General features: G+C 42.0%; 1 protein-coding gene across 1 annotated transcript in view, besides 3 other annotated features; it reads right to left on the bottom strand.

The window, feature by feature from the left end:
• The window catches only part of ARID5B (AT-rich interaction domain 5B), a 195,246-nt gene extending 176,273 nt beyond the window's left edge, over positions 1-18,973 (bottom strand). Inside the window, exons 1-2 of the mRNA NM_032199.3 lie at positions 18,942-18,973; positions 18,259-18,513 (exon numbers count right to left, since the gene is read on the bottom strand). Of these exons, the coding sequence (NP_115575.1) occupies positions 18,259-18,513; positions 18,942-18,962 (276 nt within the window). The 5' untranslated portion in view covers positions 18,963-18,973. The remainder of the gene's footprint in view (positions 1-18,258; positions 18,514-18,941) is intronic.
• Positions 17,222-17,541: a silencer, noted in NCBI's record as "silent region_2394". NCBI's record gives its function as "represses an Ori minimal core promoter by ATAC-STARR-seq in GM12878 lymphoblastoid cells {active_cell/tissue: GM12878}" and the evidence as "EXISTENCE:reporter gene assay evidence [ECO:0000049][PMID:35858748]".
• Positions 18,781-19,283: an enhancer, noted in NCBI's record as "H3K27ac hESC enhancer chr10:63661148-63661650 (GRCh37/hg19 assembly coordinates)". NCBI's record gives its function as "activates a minimal SCP1, AML or CMV promoter by ChIP-STARR-seq in naive H9 embryonic stem cells {active_cell/tissue: H9 hESC(naive)}" and the evidence as "EXISTENCE:reporter gene assay evidence [ECO:0000049][PMID:30033119]".
• Positions 20,282-20,451: a silencer, noted in NCBI's record as "silent region_2393". NCBI's record gives its function as "represses an Ori minimal core promoter by ATAC-STARR-seq in GM12878 lymphoblastoid cells {active_cell/tissue: GM12878}" and the evidence as "EXISTENCE:reporter gene assay evidence [ECO:0000049][PMID:35858748]".

The raw sequence follows: 21,193 nt of genomic DNA, 5'->3' as shown, positions 1-21,193 counted from the left end.
TTAACTACCATATGAGAATTCCAAGCCCCATCTTCCTTTTTTTTCCATCTACTCATTTAAGAGTCATCTTTTATTTGGGAGGCCAAGGCAGGCGGATAACCTGAGGTCAGGAGTTCGAGACCAGCCTGGCCAACATGGCGAAACCTGTCTCTACTAAAAATACAAAAAAAAATTAGTCAGGCATGGTGGCACACGCCTGTAATCCCAGCTACTCAGGAGGCTGAGGCCTGAGGAGCATCGCTTGAACCCAGGAGGCGGAGGTTGTAGTGAGCCGAGATTGCGCCATTGCACTCCTGCCTGGGCAACAAAAGTGAAACTTCTCAGGAAAAAAAAAAAAAAAAACAAAGATTCATCTTTTAAAGACCAATTAGAAAAGTCAGCTGGCACAGCTGAGCAGTTAGAACTGTATTAACTGTAAGTACAATCTGCAGACCCTGTCCTCCTGTCCCTCAATCTTCATGGCCAAGACTGAAGCAAGATTCCTCTTGGCTTAAGCAGAGAGAAAAAAGGACACACAAAAAGCCTGTAAAGATTAAGGCAAAAAGAAAAAAAAATTAAGACAACTGAGATATCTCAATATTCTGACATGCTGAGAATGTTTTTACTCCACTGCCTCAAGGGGTCATTTAAGGAATTCTGGGGGTCAGGAGAGATGTGAACACCTGCTTGGCTGTCTCTTGAATTACTGATCTAGTAATATCAAAAATGTGGAGTGAGAAAGAGGACCTATAATGTAAAGAAATAAAAACAAACCCAGAGCTTGTTGATAATTTTTAGACACCACCATTTATGTGATTCATACGATCTGCATTTAAAAAAAAAAACTTCAGTCTTTTTACTAGAGCCCTCTTTCTTGTCTGTCCAGATAGTTAGGGATGCATATTTTACAACCAATGCATTGTTGCTAAAAACACACTCAGCCCCCAGGAGCACAAAATACTATTAGACTATTACAGAGAATATTCACAAGGAACAGATTATTTCACTTAAGAAATATCGAATTCAGTTATTTTTTCTGTATTTATAACCTATATATTTTGGAATCATTTGGCGAGGAGACTGAGTACTACAGCAGTGTTTTCATCTGAATTCTAGTGATCTGATATACACTGTGGGATTAATCCAAAGCAAAAGGATTTAATGGCCCAGAAGGCTACCTCTATTTGGAAGATCCTTCTGAGATTCCCCCCAGCCATTTTGGCTGGGACCTTTCCCTTTACATGGTCTGGCTGATGCTTTTTGCATCTTTCAGAGTTGGATTGGAATACACCCTCTACCATGAGCATCCCCAAATGAGGAAGACGGTGGGGTGGAAGGGGACAAAGGGATGAAGCAAATTTTCAAGTTAGGGGTGTTTTTAAGAAAAGAAAATACAGGAAACTTTTTTGAAATGGAGGAATAGTGGGTATATTTAAAATGAATTCAATGTTTTGCACATTTTGCAGATCAATACCAGGTTTCCTGATGGTTGCATCATGAAAGGGCAGGGTGGAGGGTGGGGCACTTAGATCAAACATCTGGGAAGCCAGTTTTGTCTCTTGACTCCATCTACTCCTATCTCAGTTAATTTTGACATGGCCAATGGAAGAGATGTCCCCTAACGCACCTTTTATTTTTTTGGGGGGGGGGGGGGGGACGGAGTCAGGCTCTGTCACGCAGACTGGAGTTGCAGTGCAGTGGCACAATCTCGTCTCACTGCAATCTCCGCCTCCCAGGTTCAAGAGATTCTCCTGCCTCAGCCTCCTGAGTAGCTGGGATTACAGGTGCATGCCACCACACCCAGTTAATCTTTGTGTTTTTGGTACAGACAGGGTTTCACCATGTTGGCCAGGCTGGTCACAAACTCCTAACCTCAAGTGATCTGCCCACCTCAGCCTCCCAAAAGTGCTGGGATTACAGGCATGAGTCACCGTGCCTGGCCCCTAATGTACCTTTAACATCTACATGGAACAGAATAGAATGGATTTGAACATGTCTCCTTCAAAGTGACTGGAAATCACAGATATAGATAAAAAATGTTGAACCTAAACACAAGAGAAGTCTTTTGGGGTAAATGAAAAACCAGGAAGTTTAACTCTATTTAATATGATAGTTTCCTTAGTTCCTGTTTTTCAAATAATAGTCCAATATCTCAACCCATAAATTAGTTATTAAGGAGTTATTAACAGCCTAGCACTAAGACTTCAAAACTTAGGATGTGGTCCCTGACCAGGGAGGGCAGGGTCAATAACCAACATCTGCTGCAGACCTAGGATAAGCCAGGTCATGGTTTTGTGCTCTATGCCCATAAGCATCTCACTTGACATTCTTAGCCCAGCAAGATCAAGCCATTTCACAGATAAGAAACTGAGATGCCAGAGAGATTAAGCAAGTTGGTCAAGATGACACACAGCTACTAACTGGCAGAGTAAATATTCACACTCCATTTAACTACTCTTCAAGGCTAAGGGTTTATATTTTAACTAGAAAGAGAAAACAGACATGTGAATTTATTCAGCAGCACCGCCTTCAGATTCAAGTCCACATGACATGCTAGGCTCCCCTGCAGTCTGGCCTCAGTCTACCTCATTTCCCACTAGACCTGTGCTCTCTTACCAAATCCAGACCATATCCGGTATTGGTATGTCCTTCCTTCCTACTTGCCTGTGGCTTTGCTTCTGCCTAGGATTTTCTCATCTCTTACCCTCATCCATCCCTAGGTGTTTTCAAGGGCCCCTTCTCCAGGACACCTTCCAGGATGGCTACAGGTCACCTTCACACTCATGCACTTCTTTCCACAGCTGGTCCCTGCCTCCCTCCTCAAGCCTAAATGTAGACTCCAGGGCAGAGCCAAGCTCTTCTTCTTGCACATCTCTTCCTGCCATCCCTCCAGACTCCAGAGCCCTGGCTTTATCCACGTGGCTCTCCCCACCCCATTTTTAACAGCCCCTTTGGGACCAACGGTTCTTTTTGCTTTAGTTACAGAAAATGGGCCAAATATGAGAAAGTTTTAAAAACTGTAATAGTCCAAAGCTTTGCTCTAGAGATGGCAAGGTGGCAGCCTGTGGGCCACATCTGGACAGAAGACACATTTTGTTTGGCCCACAAAGAGTGTTTTAAAAATTGGATTGGGCCAGGTGCAGTGAGACCAGCCTGACCAACATGGCAAAACCTCATCTCTACTAACAATACAAAAATTAGCCGGGCGTGGTGGTGCTTTCCTGTAATCCCAGCTACTCAGCGGGGCTGACGTAGAGAGAATCACTTGAACCCAGGAGGTGGAGGTTGCAGTGAGCCGAGATGGCATCACTGCACTCCAGCCTGGGCGACAGAGCGAGACTCTGTCTTAAATAAATAATAAATAAATAAATAGAATGGTCAACTAAAATCACATGAAAATCTAGGTTTCTGGCTTCTCTTGAAAAATGGAAAGATTTGTCAATATCTCAGACTGACATTCCTGCCCAGCAATGCTAGGTAGAAACTGAAGAGCATTTTATTTTTTTAATTAATTTTTTTTTTTTTTTTTACTAGAAACAGGATCTTACTCTGTTGCCCATGCTGGAGTGCAGTGGTGCAATCATGGTTCACCCTGAACTCCTGGGTTCAAGTGATCCTCCCCGCTTAGCCTCCCAAGTAGCTGGGATTACAGGCATGTGCCATGGCACCTGGCTCAAGAGGAACATTTTAGAGGCATGCCTCAAACCAGTCGTGCGCTCCCCAGTTCCCCTGAATATCATATTGTCTCCCAGACCTGGCCCAGTCACTCATTGATCTTATCTGCCTGACCCAGAGGGCACTTACACCTGTGCCTCTGTGGCTTCCTTGTTCCTAGACAGTCAATGGAAGACCTCAAGGAGGAGGTGGCTTTTAAATGGGACCTTGAAAGACGGATACAGCTGTTGCGCAGTTTTATTTCACAGAGTAAAACCTCAGCTAACTTTACCACCCTTTTCTTATACTTCCCGTTTCCTCTACTTGTAAACAGGACAGCACAATGTTTCTGTCACCTGCATTTTGGAATTAAAACAGCTTGAGTTCCCATTCAGTCTCTGTCATTCACCAGGTGAGTGAATTTGGAAACCCGGACAAGTTACCTAACCTTTCAAATTACCCTCCCGCAAAATGGAGATGATACTAGAATCTACCTCACAGTATTACTGTTATGAAGAGTAAATAAAATGTCACATATTAATCTGTCAGGACCTAGTTTTACTATTACTTTTATTAATATTATTTTAAATGAGGGGTTGGCATTTTATATAAGGGCCAGATAGTAAATGTTTTAAGCTCTGTGTGGTATATAGTCTCTGCTGCAACCACCCAACTCTGCCACTATAGTGCGAAAGCTGCCAGAGACCATTTGTAAACGTGGGCATGGCTCTGTGCTAATAAAACTTTATTTACAGAAACAGGTAGTCCAGCCTGGCCAACATGGCAAAACCCCATCTCTACTAAAAAAAATATAAAAATTAGCTGGGTGGGGTGGCACCTGCCTGCAATCCCAGCTACTCGGCAGGCTGAGGCACAAGAATCACTTGAACCTGGGCAACAGAGGTTGCGATGAGGCAAGACCACGCCTTTGCACTCCAGCCTGGGTGACAGAGCAAGACCCTATCTCAAAAACAAACAAACAAGGCTAGACACGGTGGCTCACGCCTGTAATCCTAGCACTTTGGGAGGCTGAGGTGGGTGGACTGCTTGAGGTCAGGAGTTCAAGACCTGCCTGACCAACATGGTGAAACCCAGTCTCTACTAGAAATACAAAAATTAGCCAGGCATGGTGGTGGGCACCTGTAATCCCAGCTATTCCAGAGGCTGAGGCAGGAGAATCACTTGAATCTGGGAGGTGAAGGTTGCAGTGAGCTGAGATCGTGCCATTGCACTCTAGCCTGGGCGACAGAGCGAGACTCTGTCTCAAACAAACAAACAAACAAAAAACAAACAAACAAAGACAGATAGTAGACCAGAGTTGGCCTATGGGCCTTAGTTTGCCTTAGCTTGCCGTGTTTTCAACCATCTCCATAGCCAAATGATGTACATTAGCTCTAAATATGCACCCCAGGTGTCTAGATGATACCTAGACCAACTGGTCCCTCCAGTGGGCAAACGGACATCTCTAACCTGGCTACGAATTCACCAAGGCCAAGCCCAGCCCAGAAACCATTCTGCAGGGAGGTAGTGCTCACCATACAGCTTGCCTAGAAACTTCCCAATCTTCACCCCCAGATCCCTTTAGACCTCAACTCAAATGATATTTCTTCTAAAATGCCTCCTGAGACCTTTCCGACAAAATCATGTACCCCTGACATAGGCACTTGTATTTGCCCTTCATCCCCTTGACCACATCACAGAATCACCCTTTGTTTGTGATAAGTTTATATACTATGCGTGGTCCCCACCTGATGGTAAGCTCCATGGCGGCAGGATCTGCCTGGTTTTCCACCTCTCTCTCTCCAGTGCGCAGTGCTGGGCTGCACACAAAGTCACGCTGGAGGTACTGAGTCTGAGACTTCTCTCCTGTGAAATGTGAGAAAGGCGCTATGTGGAGTGTAAAGTGCCCTTTCAAAGTGTATTACCTGTGTGCATGGCATTACTATTATCTGGGTATCAGTCAACTGTGCAAGTCCCTAAAGAGCAGGAAAGAAGCTTTCATAAAGACTCAATTAAAGAATACATCAGTATATAGTGAAAACCCCAGTGCTGATATTGAGAGTTCTCAATATATTCTAAAGTTATAATGAGAAACTAAGCTCGCCCACTGGTCTTCGCAGCATCGGGAGAACATGGGTTTCAATCCCGACTCTTGAGTCTCACCTATGTGTGACCTTGGGCAAGTTCCTTTAACCTCTGTTGGCCTCAGCTGCATCACCTACAAAGTATGGAAATGTCAAAATACTACGGACATAATAGAGTATCCATGAGAATTAAATGAGATATTTTATTTATATTTAATTTATATGTTAATGTATTTGCAATGCCTGACATATAAGTGGTCACTGAATTAATGGAAAATGTTGTGACTTTGACTTCATTGAAAACACAGTGGGTGAAAATTTTGCAGATGGTTTCGGGAAAGAGAAATATGGGGCATTTTCTCTGGGCTGTGAATACACAGAGAAAGCACTCTAGAAGGAAGCGTGAATTCGGTTTTAAGACTACAATGTATGGAGATGGTTTTCCCTCCATTTGGGACAAATTAATCAAGTTGCTTCTTCCTTCTTACTATAGGAGAGAAAATGTGCTCTCTGAGAACAGAAATCTTTGTGTACTAGTCACTCATTGTTCACTATTATATCCCCAGCACAGAGAACTGATACATAGTAGGCACTCACTTTAACTGCTCCTTTAACAGCACAGAGAACTGACACATAGTAGGCATATAGTAGATACACACTTCTGAATGATGAAACCATCCATGAGTATCAGATGTTCGCATAAGTACCAATTCCATTTATTACCAACATTGCCAACTTTTGGCGAAGCTTTTCTTCAGCCAACATAAATAGCATCCCATTAGAGGGCCCTCCTGGCTTCAGGAAAAATTATAGAAATGAAGGTGATGTCCAGTCTGGGATCCTGGATATCAATCCTGGCTTCTGTGTAATCACTAACTCTCTGCTAAGTATCCTGTCATTCCAGGGCTGGGCGCGGTAGCTCACGCCTGTAATCCCAGCACTTTGGGAGGCTGAGGCGGGTGGATCACCTGAGGTCGGGAGTTCAAGACCAGCCTCGCCAACATGGAGAAACCCCGTCTCTATTAAAAATACAAAATTAGCCGGACATGGTGGTGCATGCCTGTAATCCCAGCTACTCAGGAGGCTGAGGCAGGAGAATCGCTTGAATCTGGGAGGCGGAGGTTGCGGTGAGCTGAGATTGCGCCATTGTACTCCAGCCTGGGCAAAAAGAGCGAAACTCCATCTCAAAAACAAACAAACAAACAAAACAAGGTATCTTGCCATTCCAGTAAAGTCCATACTCTCCATGAGTTGTTTTATAAAAGTGATGTCCCCCATGGCACCATGCACTGGTATAAGACAGGGCACTGGAATGACCTACCAAGAACACAGCCACGGGAAGCACTTGCCTACTTTCCTCAGCACATGACCTCAAGAGAGCAGCCCCTTCCCCACAAAACAGCCGACCAGACTGTGGTGCCTGAGAACACTGAATCCTAGTTCCACTTCTGTCACTCTCTAGTTCTGAGGACATGCCCAAGATTTTTCTGGGCCTTAGGTTCTGCATCTATTAAATAAAGAGGGCTGGATTTGTTCTTCTCAGTCTCTTTTATCTGTTATCTTGTGAGTCTACAGAATTGTCCATGGCAAATTAGACATGAGCCTTTCTCTTAAATAACCATGGCAATTCTTCTTGACCATCGTTATCAACAATACCAAGGGACTTTAAGCTAGCCATGCCTAAAACCAAACATGTTGGCAGACAGCACAGCCAGAGAGACCAGCTTTACCAATGGATACACCAAAGTTCCAGCCAGGAAAAGGTCTCTGAGAACATTATCAATGACCTTTTCTGCATCTGACCTTCACTGGTCTGCCTTTTGCCTTGTATCACCAGCGTCTTTTCCACAGTGCAAATTTCCAACCAGAACACTGCCAAAACAGAAGAAAAACAACTAAACCTGAGCCTATCACATTCAGGAAAGTCTGAGGACAAAGGAATGGGTGAGAACATTTTTATTCTCTGATACTGTATCTGGCTAATTTGCCTTATTTCTAGTGATACTCTGAGCTGAGCTCAAACTAGATAATGGCAAGCAAAAACCAAAGGGAAAATAGCATTCTGTCAAAACTGTTTCCATCTCATCTTCCGTTGGAGAGCTTAGGGCAAGCTTAGTGACAAGCAACTGGGGGGTAACTTGGCTTGCTATCTCTGTAGCATGCGAGACTTCCCTTGGAAGGGTTAAAAAAAAAGTATGTATATATGTGTAATGTATACAGAGATAACAGGACAAGTTATCTGTATGTGTGTGTGTGTATGTGTGTATACATATATATATATATATATAAACATGCATATATATACACACATAATTATATATATGCCTATATATATACTTTTATTTTCTCCAGCTTTATTGAAGTATAATTGACTAACAAAAATAGTATACATTAAAGTATACAATATGATGGTTGTATATATTTAAGGTATACAATGTGATGATTTGATGTACATATATATCATGAAGATTACCACAATCAAGTTATTAACATTCATCACCTCAGTTATCCTTTTTTGATGTGGTAACAACACTTAAGATCTACTCTGTTAGCAATTTTCAAGTATACAATACAGTACTATTAACTATAGTCACTATACTATACATTAGATCTCCAGATAGAAGATGAACACATATATATGATGAATATCTTATAACTAAAAGTTTGTACCTTTTGACCAACACCCTATATATACACATTTTAAAAACATATTCCTCCCTTAAGAAGAATACACAGTATTAGTGAATTTAAATTATTTGCACTTAGTTCTTTGTCTCCAGTTATACTGCGATCCTTTGTGCTTGTGAAACAACATATGCTTTAATTAGCAAATATCTGTAAATAATTTACTTGCTTTTCAAATACAATAGAACAATGGAGTCGATTTTCACATACATTTACCAAGCAAGTATCCTGGGTCATAATCCAGACTCTCTCATTGTTCAATAACTATATCAAGCTGTCTAACTCCTGCTGCCCTCCTTGGTGGAGGGTTGGGGTAGGCGGTTAGAAACCCAACTTCCAGTAGCAACATTTCATTTTGCAAGACCCCAGCAGGCAAGCACAGATAGTTGTCCAGCTCATGCTAAAAAAACTCTTACACTCTCTAACCCTAGAACCTTCCTTAAGGAGCATGGAAGTGAGCCAAGGGCGAAGGGCATTGGAATAATGACGGCAAGACAAAGGCACCCTTCTGCCCGCTGCCCCCCAAGCCCCAAGAGCATGAGCCAAAAAACATAAGGCACAATGTATGGCCTATGAATCACAGAACTTCATCTAGGCTCTGCAGGGTTAAAACTGGGTGCCGCTCGTGCAGTGCAAAGAAAGATGTTAAATCAAATGAGAATGACTACTCCAGGACTGGAAGCACTATTATTTTGAATAAGATTGAAAAGGCCAGAAAAAGCAATTCAAAAACATTTCAATTATGTATTTCCCAGAACTACATCTTTGAGCAACTAATGCAAATGTTACCACCACAATAAAACTTCTTCCCACATATAAAACAGGTTGAACAGCATATACTTTATATATCATATGCATATTTTTGACTATTAATAAAAAATTCAAAATCTATGTATGCTTTACTCTCCTAAGCAATACAGTAATTATGATTAAGGGACAAGCAGCACAAAAAGAGCCAATTTATCTTACTCGTGCTCAGGAATACTATTGTGTAACTAAGCAACTAAAGACAAAATATGGTCTAATTAATTCACTCCTATGCTTATTTAAAAGACACAATTAGAACATTTTTATTTTCCAGCTTGCACAGTAGCTCAACATGCTTGAGGGTGTAGAAAGCAAAGCCCATTATTCTCAAAGACAAGAGTTTAATGTTTAGTGCCACTGATGAGGCTTGGAACTCAACTATGGGGTGGAAGGGGTGTTTCATAGCCCGGGTGTGCTTGGAGTCATGAGAAAAGAAAGGTGGGGGAAAAGATGTTTATGGGGTCACTAGATTGACTAGCAACATTTGGCCTTTGCCGCCTGGGGTTCTTACTGGGGCACAGGAATGGAGATGTGACTGTGAACCTGATGGTCATATGCCAAGGACACACGCCACTGTGCGTCTATTTATACAGCCACAAAGATCCTACAGAAAATTCGCGTAATTAAACCACCCATCCTAGTCTGCGTGATAAATGTCAAATATCCATCTTTAACGCTGCTAACAGTGCATCTGATTTTAAAAGCAGAATTAATTTACCCAAGTGTGTGCGAGAGATTGATGCCATTAGCATGATTCTAAAGCACCCTTTCAATAATCATCATCATCTGCATGTTTGAAATGTGTTGTCGATACTGATGCTCATAGTCCAGGGCATGAGGGATGTATGCTGGAGGGCTAAGACCAAGGTTCTCATCTCCAGCAAGTCAGTGAGGAACACAGCGTGGCCAGAAAAATGCATCCTTGGATTTGTGCAGTGTAGATTCTTCAAGAAATGAGGGAATCCATGACCACATCTCTGAGAGGTGAATGAATCCTTAAGCCAACAATCGATAAATTTGTTTTAAATTTCCTTAAAAGCCAAGGCAACGGGTAGTCACTAGCTACAGTATTATTCTGAGTAGAAGATGGCAAATATCCAACTACACTGGCTATAAAAAATGACAAGTGAATGCATTTGGTTCAAGCAATTATATTCTGGATATTGGTTAAAACTAGACTTTGATAAATGAGCTTGAGTCATATATCACTAGATGCCACTATGAACAATGGCATGCTTTATTAATAATTAATAATGAAGTATTTACATGTATGGACTCTTGTATTTCATAAAAATAACATTTCCTTAGTATGTGTCTGACAGTCTAATTGTCGAGAGGTTTTAATTGCTTACAATTGTGAGGCACTATCAAACATGTGGCTTAGTTAAGACCATCAGCCTGAAAAACATGCTGGCTCGTATGAACTGCCAACCAACACCAGGCGAGGAGTGAATCTTCTTTCCTGAAGTCTAGTCTTTTCATAGGTTGCCACCCCAAAGCCCTGACTTTTTATGGGTTGACTGCTGAGACTGGAAAATTAACAACGAAACAGAGATGCTGCCTCCAGTCTAATCTTTCAAATATTTGCTTGTTTCTTTGGTGAGTGCCCCTGTGAAAAAACCACTTCCCATGTTTTCACATTCTACAGTGCAAAATGACTACAGACTTTGGAAGAGAAAGAAGAAGTGTGAGATGGGGTCGTGGATCTGGCCCACATGTGAATGACTGGTCACTGGTCATCTGCCAGAAAGAAACTGGGTAAAGCTTAAAAAAGGTAGACTGTGTGCAAGAAGGCATTTTAATTATGTCGTTCAGTCACTCAGAAAATACTCACTGAAGGCCAGGCGCGGTGGCTGACGCCTGTAATCCCAGCACTTTGGGAGGCCAAGGCGGGTGGATCACGAGGTCAGGAGATCGGGACCATCCTGGCCAACATGGTGAAACCCCGTCTTTACTAAAAATACAAAAAATTAGCCGGCCGCGGTGGCTGGCGCCTGTAGTCCCAGCTACTCTGGAGGCTGAGGCAGGAGAATGGCGTGAACCCGGGAGGCGGAGCTGGCAGTGAGCCGAGATCGCGCCACTGCACTCCAGCCTGGGCGACAGAGCGAGACTCCGTCTCAAAAAAAAAAAAAAAAAAAAAAAAACTCACTGAATAGCACTAAATATTGCAGAGGACCCAGAGGTGAATAAGGCACAACTGCCTGCTCCTGAGAACAGCACTATGGTGGGGGGAGCATAGGGTCAGGTGACAAGGTAAAGGAAAAGAACACAGATAACTATAAGGCACAAGGTATAAAGTGCACGACAGGTTACAACCAACCACTGGACTATAAGCTCCCTGGGAGCAGTGATTTTTGTCTGTCTTGTTCATGCTGCATCCCCAGGGCCTAGAATAGGATCTGGCACATAATAGGTGCTCTACAAATATGTGTCCAGGAAGTAATAATTCAAAGATGAAGACAGTACTTTCTAATTTCCGGAAAGATTAAGAAATGCTACAAATAAATAGTGATCTCAGTTCGTCTCAACTTAAACTAAGGAACACAGATGGAAAGAGTCTGATGGCCTTTTCTGTGATCACTGTCTGTCTACAAAGGCAGTTTGGGAACTCCTTGAGGGCAGAGGCCATTCTTCTTCTTCTTTTTTTTTTTTTTTTTTTTTTTGAGATGGAGTCTTGCTCTGTTGCCCAGGCTGGAGTGCAGTGGTGCAATCTTGGCTCACTGCAAGCTCTGCCTCCCGGGTTCACGCCATTCTCCTGCCTCAGCCTCCCAAGTAGCTGGGACTACAGGTGCCCACCACCACGCCCAGCTAATTTTTTTGTATTTTTAGTAGAGACGGGGTTTCACCATGTTAGCCAGGATGTTCTCAATCTCGTGATCTGCCTGCCTCGGCCTCTCAAAGTGCTGGGATTACAGGCGTGAGCCACTATGCCTGGCCGAGGCCATTCTCCTTAATCTCTTGTATCCAAGTGCCAGCACACAGTAGGTTTTCAATCAACATCTGAGAAATTTAATGAATTCTTTTTCCAAAAAACATGATGGTTGGGAGCCTTCCTTTGGATGCCTATGACATGTATTATCAGCACAATTTACTGATGTGTTGTGACTCATATTGCTTTTACATTTTTAGACATGTTGATCTCATCTCCTTATCAAGACTGATAAATTTATTCAGAAAAAGGGTCACATCGCAAACTATTTTGCATCTGTCTCTTCACCTAGCAGAGTACTGAGCACATAGAACTTCACGAGTAGTTTTTTATTAACTCAAAATAGACAATACTAATATTGGCTAAAGTTTCGCTCTTAACCATACAAAATATAATTTAATATTATTTCACTCATTCTCAAATTTTAATGTCCTAGAACCAATGGTGAAATTGGATTGGATATGTAAACGTTAATGATATAATATTGAAGTACAATTTCTTATATTACTTAAGTTTCTTATATTTCTGCTATTACTGGTTAATGGCCAAAACTCAAGAAAGAAAAATAGGTACACAATCATCTACCTTATTGCAGATCAACCGCATAGGCCAGGGGTCAGCAACGTTTTTCTTAACAAAGCCAGATAATAAATATTTCTACTTTGTCAGCGATCTGGTAACTGTCAAAACAACTCAACTCTGCTGTTGGAGCCTGAGAGCAGCCATAAACAAATTAGCATGGCCACATTCCAATAAAACTTTATTCACAAAAACAGACAGTGGGCCAGATTTGGCCTTCAGGCCTTACTTGGCTGACTCTTGTCACAGTCCAGTAATTTCTCTCCATGTAATTCTTTACATTCTTATCTTTGTTCTAAAAGGCCTGCTTGGTAGAGAGTAAAGATAAATCCTTTTCTTAGCTTAAGATGATTACTAAAAATAAATAATAACTATTATAAGTGCAACCACTATTCATTGAACTCTCATGTGTAGGTACTATACTATGCTAGATTCCAGACCCTTTTCATTATTATCTCTGATTCCCAGCACAGTTGAGGCCATTAAATCCATTTTACAGAGGAAGAAACAGAGGCTTAAAAAAGTTAAAACAATTGTCTAAGGCCAGTGTGGTCATTTAAGAGGTCTCAGAAATCTCTAAAAAATTACCTTATGGATATAGACCAAGACTGAGGAGCTATCCAAAGAGAAGAGCAAGACTAATCCAGCACCTTCTAAATTCCAGAATGTGTCTGTCTAACTCCAGATATGACCAAATCAGGCAATCTTTTGAAAAAAAAAATCCTGCTGATCCAGTTGACAGTTTACTTCTGCACTAAAATGTAAATCCTTAAGACACTTTTTATTTTGGTGACACAGCTAAAGCCAACATGGAGATGAAAGATAGCCTGATTCGGTAGGATTTGGAAGCCCACATGTCCTAGCAAACTCACCTAGGTGCCATTCCCTCACACGGAAAAACTTTTCAGTAAGCTCCATGGTAGTGGTTTCAAACCTCAGTGAGATTAATGCTAATATTAATGATAATAACAACAGTCAACCATTATTGAAGTATCTACTATGTGTCAACTTTGGGCATATGCATTTTACATATATTAACTTATTTAATCCTTAAAATAATCCTAGGAAATAAGGACCGTATTTCCACTTTACAGATGAGAAAACGGAGGCACAGAGAGTTTAGAACTTGCCCAAGATAACACAGCTAGACTGAGACTGTTTAAATATTTAAAATTCAGACTCCTGGACCCAACTCTAGAGATTCTATTTGAGGAGACTTCAATAGGGGCCCCAGAACATGGATTTTTAGCATTTTTTAATTCAGTAGTGAGGCTGGTGATAACTGAATCACTTTTAGAAATCTGGAATGCATGCTAGAATCTGTAACATCCAGGTATGCCTGATCTTGACTCCTGGACATCATTAGCTTAGCCATCCACAAGCACAGTTGGAGGTGACCAGCAAACCTTCTTATAAAATCCCAGCGATGGCTGGTCAGGCTGAAATCCAAGCTTGCATATCCACCCATTTTAAGAGGGTATACTGCCAATAGATTAAGCACTTGGCAATTGGAAAATGAATGTAATCAGAAGTTATCCAGTAACAGAACCAATTACCCGCCTACTTTGCCATTTTCCTCCTCTGAAGAGCTAGTGGCTGAATGTGGCAATTCTAAGTAATTACTAAAGACACTTAACTCCTTGCACATGGCCCTGCTATTCATTTTCATGGTAATTTAAGATGGTATCATTTTTAGGTCCAAGAACCTCCACACAGACACAAGTTTTTTTTTTATTGTTTATAAAATTAAGAATATCTAGAACAAAGGTCACTATAATCATAATTATTTTCTATTTATTTAAGTACTTTATAGTATATAAAGCTCTTTTGCCTATAAATCCTCTTGATCTTCACCAACAATCTATAGTCATCCCTACTTTGTTCCCATTTTGCAGCTGAAGAAACTGAGGTTCCAAGTACTTATGGTTGTTCAAGATTAAGCAAATAGCAAGCTGCAGAATCAAAATGTGACTTTCTTGAATGCTTTTCCTCAACACCAGTTGCGAACACTGGAAGTATTATATATGAAGGCATTGGTGTATATAAGCATATAAATCATCACCATCATCATTAAAATGAATAGTAAGTTGTTAATGCTCATTAATAACTATTAAAATATAACTGTTATCATTATATACCACTGATTAGAATTAGCTTAACTTTACAGGATAAGGATAGTTTTGCTACCTAGACATCTGGTGACCTTTGGCAAAACTGATTAACTAGTTACAATTCTAAAATGTCTGAGGGACTGTTCACATTAGTACACACTTCTAGAATGTAATATGATGAATTCAAGCTCTGCTTTCAAGGGTAGGTTTCACTGGGGAGAAAAGATAACCTTGAATTTCAAGGAGGCCTGGGTTCTAGCCTGGTGACCTTTGACAAACCACATAACCTTTCCGAGTCTATGTCCCCATCTGTAAAATGGGTGTACAAAGTCCTGCCTTATCCAGCCTCCCACAATTTATTACAAAAATCATGAGAAAATATTCCAAAAAAAAAAAAACCCTCTGCAAATCACAGCAAACCACACAGGGACGCTATTTCTAATCTTGCACAATGATCATTTTTCTGCTTTTAGAACTGACGTCTTTACATTTCAAGAAATCATAAAAAGGCAGAATGATTCTCTTAAACCAAAAAAAGCATACTGAGTCCTGGCTGTCCTTTCGAAATGGATGCTGATGTCAGCTCAATCAAGAAATTATTAATCTCCATTTGGTTACTTAAAATAAACTGTACTGGCTGATTAAATGTGCTGAACATTTTCTCCAAGTAACAGTGCATATCACCAAGAAACCTTTCTCTTTCAGTTACACATTGCAAATGGCAAATGCATCATTCAAAACTATTTAAAATCAATAATAAAAATCATTTAAATGTATATAAACAAGTTAATGGAATAAGTGAAAACAAAGCAAATTTCTTAATGAGAGGGCCCTGTTGCCCCCTCTAGGTGCCAGCAGTAAATGCTGGTTTCTGTAAGGCTCTCCTCCAGAGAAGACTGCTGCTGCTATTCTGCTAATGAATGACTAACTTAGGCCAGGGGGGAAATGACATCACCAGGGTGGAAAACCGATCTGCATTGGGAAACTTTCTACCTGCTTTACATTTGTCATAATTATTTTGCACAATGCAGTCTGCATTTGCATAATTTTGAGGCGTGTCATTATCTCAATTGAAAATTGTTTTAATATGGCTGAATAATTCACAATGACATCAGCCAAAGTCCTAATGAAATATACAAGTATAATCATACAGCTAATTACCAGCCGTGTTAGCATTAAAAAACAAATCATGCATAATATTAGACGATGTATATGCAGCTGAGGATTATAAATAGAGCCATCTCCCTCCGCAAACCCCCTAGAGTTTACTTTTAAATGGCAAGATTAATTTTCTCAGGTATGGCTCATATAGCAGTGACGAAATGCACAGATCATTACAATGGTTCCCTTTCAATTCCCCATAATGAACAATTAAAAAGAAATCGTGTATTTAAAAATATATCTATTCACTGTCAACACTTCTAGCAGATGCAACGTTTGGCAAATATAGCCTTTATTCTTAAATCAGAATTCACCATTTAATTACACCAACAAAAATTAAAACTGTACCAAGTGGGGTCAACTCAGGGTCTTTAAAAAACATCCCAATTTCAATTCCCCGCCCCCCAAAAAAGAGTGACCACAAAATATCCCATAAAACACTGAATAATTTCCTCCTGGACTTAGTCAGAAGTCTGTTAAGCACCAGTTCTTTTCTGGATATTTAATCCTTCCCTTTTCCAGATCACAGGCCATGTTGAAGTAATAAATTTGAAAAGCAAATAATAAGAAATCAGGAGGGGGAGAGGGAGGGGGAGGAAGACAGCTGCGCAGGAAAGTTGGGTCGGGGGAGGGGGCCGAGCCAGACCTTGGGAGGGGGAAAGAGCTCAACCTGTTGGTAGGTTGCAGGATTTTTCACAGTATTTCCAAACAACACCTTTTTAAAATTGCAGGCGGACGTCGGGAAATATGAACATTTAAAAACCAAAGCTGGCCGGGGAGGGTGGAGGGGGGAGGTGAGCGGGGAGGTGGGAGGGGCTTATTTCCGAAAAGGCAGATTCGAGGGCGAACGTTTCGACGAACTCCAGTAATTAACCGGCATAGACCACTGACGAGTAATTCGATCCTGGGGAGAGGGAGTGAACTAGCAATGCCAAAAGTACTATCAACTCGATCAAACCGAGGAATTCTGGAAGGACTGGCAGCTCCGAGCCCCGGGATGAGTTAAACGGGAAACCATTCATTTAACAAAAAGATCCTTAGATCCTTACACCTACCTCGAAAGCTCGAGAGCCTGGCACAGCACTAGCTGCCCTCAAAAGTCTGTTTGATTACCCTGCTCTCGCTTTGGCAACACAAAGCCTCGCCAGGCGGCAGTGCGCCCTCCCTCCCCGCTGCGCCGTGGGCACAGACTCCCCAAAATAGTTCCCCTCGGTAGGTACCACGGCGCTGAGGTCGGTCAGCTGAGGAGGGGAGCCCGCAGAACTGCGGTCACACATGAAATGACAGAGCCGAAGGGAGGCGGCCGCCCCGGCGCCCAGTGACAGCGGGCTCACCTCCGGCGTCCTCCCGGGAGCGCGGCGAGCGCCCCCGCGGCCGCCCAGAAACGTGCCGGGGAGGCTCTGTCCCCTCCCCGCCCTCCCCGGGAGCGCCGTCTGGGCACGGAGAACGCTGGACCCGCAGGGCCAGTGGGCGAGCACACACCCCTCTGCCCTCCCCTCCCCCGCCCCCGTCCCACACACCCCCAAAGATCGCGCAGGAGGACGTCCACTTTGCGTGGAGTAATTGCAAACTAGAACATCAAATGGCTTGTCCGGGGGGAGGGGGAGTGGGCGAGAGATAGTTGTTAATGCTTAACGTGTTTGTGCCTGTTACACCACCGCTTTGAAATCCGCCCGGGCAGATCTGCAAGTTATTTGAATGTATTATTCCAGTACCTGTCATTTATCACTTTATTCAACACGTCTTTGCCAACTCAATAGCTTTTGATCTCATTCTGCCTCCATTTCGTAATTTCCGCCCTCTTAAACATATCAAATACTTACTTTGAAAAAAGAACAATATCGAAACCCACCGAAAGAAATCCACCCAGACACGACCGAGCCAGACACGAAGGTAAATTTTCAAAAGGCAAAAAATATAAAAAGCATGTGATGTTCAAGAGGCAATAGCAGGAGAGCAAATGAACACACACACACACATACACACACACACACACACACACACACACATCCTTGAACAAAACCCTTCTCGAACAAGTTATTTGATCTTGACTAAAATCAGCAGTTGGATCCTCTTTGTAAAGCTGACAGCCAAACTCTGACAATGGCAAAATACTCGAGCCCCAGCTAGTGGCGCTACCCCTTTAAAAAAGGAGTCGATCCTGCTTGCCTGCAGAAGTGAATACAGTATTTTCAAGCTTGCCCTGTAATAAGCATTACTAGGGGGAAAAATAATAAAGAAAGAAGAGGGGGACAGACAGGTTTACCACCTCGCCATGGTCGCTATTTCTGCCCTGGGGAGTGTCTTCTGGGAGGAAATAAAGTTTAGAGCTGGATAAAAGTTGCCGGCTGGTCCTCTCTTCCCACAACAGCTGGAGCTCCGCTATGCAAATCGGATCCTTTGGCGTACATCTTACAAAGAAAAAGTCGCCAAGGGACAAAATTCTTGGTTTGCCTTCAAGGTGGAATTGAAAAGCCTTGTAGAAAATGTAAGGTCCGTGCAAGCCACACGGTGAGCCGACCCACTGCAGGGGGGGAAAAAAACACCAAATAAATAATGTAGCCATCAGAGCACAAACATCTATTCCCAGACACATTTACACACAGACATCCACTCTCTTAATACAGACGACCCAACAGATATAACGCTGGGTGGAAAAATAATAGCACCCACAAATTTTCTGCTTCCCTAAAAAAAAAAAAAAAAAAACTCAGGGCCCCCCACCGCCACTTCTACCCACCTCCCCATTTGAGGCGGTAAAATTACATTATGTATGTATGATCAGTGCAGGGATTTTTTTAAACAATAAAAATGATTTTGGGGGATGCAGAGGGTAAAAGTTTGGTGAAAAGTTTGTGGGGGGTGTGGGTGGGTGCAGAGGTGTGGGTGAGCTGGGGGGTTGGGGGGTGCCGGGGGGTGCCGGGATCGGAGGAGCGGAGGAGAGCGAAATACCTGGAGTGAGTTGGGCTCCATCTCGACGTTCTGAATTGATTGAACTCAACATTCTCTCCAAACTTGTTGGCTTGAATGGATTGCATCAGGTCCTGGCAGGGAAACGCATTCTCTGCCTTCAGCCGGCGTAATGTCTCAATATAAAACTGAGCTCTTGCCTCCCTTCGGGCACCGAAATGATTGAAAATATGTCCTAATATTTCTATAACGACTCAATTTTCAGCTCCTGAAAAAACTATGTGGGTTTTCTTCCAAAGATGGATTGATCAAATTCATAATCGAGAGAAAGGCGCCATACGATCTCGGCGGGAAGAGGATGGATCAAGGCAAAAAACACACAAGAAGATTTGTAAAAATAAAAAGCACCCTAAAACTGTGTGGAGATGTGATTCCTCTCTCTCTAACCGCTCCTGTCTGGGATATCGTCTGATGAGATTTTTGGAGGAGAGGAGGGGTAGCGAGCTCCACTGTGCATCTGACAGGACCTGCTTGTATATGTCTAATATAAAGAACATTTCCTGCAGAGATTCCGGGGCGCTGCTCCTCTTTCTAATGCTTCTTAGCAGATTTGCTGTTATTAGACATGTAGATTTGTTTGATAGTTAAATTACGCTTCCTCACTGCCATGTTTTCGAGAACTAATCTGTTAAATTATCTTTTGATGCCTATTTACATGGAAGGGAAAAGTGGGTTATCGATTATATAAACATATAAATATTAATGCATTTGTTCGCTTCGCAAAAAAATACTCAGCAAAAAAAAAAGAGACAAGTGAGCAGTGCACACACATCTTAGGATTTCGCAAACAATATTGAACGGACAGCGACTGCATTTAGGGACTGGAACAATAAACGATGCATGATAAATCAATAAATGCGAGAAGCGAGTCTGCTCAGAATATGAATTCAGGCTCCCGGTTCTGCGTGTGCATTCTTTAATTTTGAAGTATATACACTAGTACGTGTTTACAATGCTGATGGACGCCAAGGGCGCTCTCAAATGATAATGTGTTTATATAACCCAGCGCTACAGGAATAATATACCGACTCCTACCCCACCCCCATCCCCTCCCCCGCCAAAAAAGGGAGGGGAGCTTCCTCAATAATAGTTTGAAACTGAAAAAATCCATTTGCAAACTAGTTAAATACAACCAGAAATTAAGCTGTTGAAAACCGGGGGCATGAACCGTAAGACAATAAAGGCTTTAAATGTGTATATTTATTGTTCTGGAGCCCTGGAGCATTGCGAGGTTTGCATGCACGGCTATTATGCAAACACAGAGAAACTTAAGAGCGACAGAACAAGGAACAGGCAGAGACTGCAAAGCCCTCGCAAGCTCCGACCCAGCTGCCGGTCCTCCGCCAGGCTAGATTGCATTTTCGCAGTGTTGATTTAAAATGGTGTACTCGCTTCCCCCACGTTCCCCCACCCCCTTCCCCGCTCTCCTCCCACTCCTTCCAGCACACCCCCCCTCCAGCTTTTATTATATTGGCACCAATCTTTCCAAAGTGGGTCTGGCATGCTAAAAAAGTAAACATGTACTATATGGGGAATAAGGTCTGTATAGTATGACAGTTGAAACTTGATCTGTGATAAAATTACAGGATGTTGAAATTACTAGTAAGCTATTTTTAACGCTTTCGCAACGTTTCACCTCTAGTCACAGCATCTAGTTGAAACAGGATTACTTTAATGAAAATTATATTCACATGGCTGAAGTTAATACACCCGGCAGAGCACAAATGCCTCATATTCAGTGACTTGAGGTGGAAAGACCCTCTGTGTGTATTTTTATGCCTTTTCATAACGTCTGCGTCCGCTGCAGTAAGAATTAGGGCACTTAACATTATCTAAACCACATTTTTGATTCAGAATATGGGGAAGTAATAAAAGGCAAAATCTATCTCGTTTCTATACACACAGAGATAAACGAAAGAAAATGGCAGATCCTCTAATTACAATAAATAATAAAAGCCCATGCCAAAGAGCCGGTATTCTGAAAGCTGTCGAAAACTATTTTAATAATTTAAAGTAATATCACAACTCTGCACCATGGAGGACTACAATTCGCAGTCTCCCATCTTTAACATTAGCCAAATTATGACTTGCACATCACTCTTTAATTATCTCTTGAAATTTCATCTGATCTTTCTATTTTATAAACATGGGTTACAAAGAGAAATTATAGCTCTCCTGCGCTTTCTCTCTCTCTTTTTAACTTTATAATGCATACTGCAGACGTTTGATTAGAA

This window comes from Homo sapiens, chromosome 10, assembly GCF_000001405.40.
Source record: "Homo sapiens chromosome 10, GRCh38.p14 Primary Assembly".
NCBI lineage: Eukaryota > Metazoa > Chordata > Mammalia > Primates > Hominidae > Homo > Homo sapiens.
This window is presented reverse-complemented; position numbering and strand designations above follow the sequence as displayed.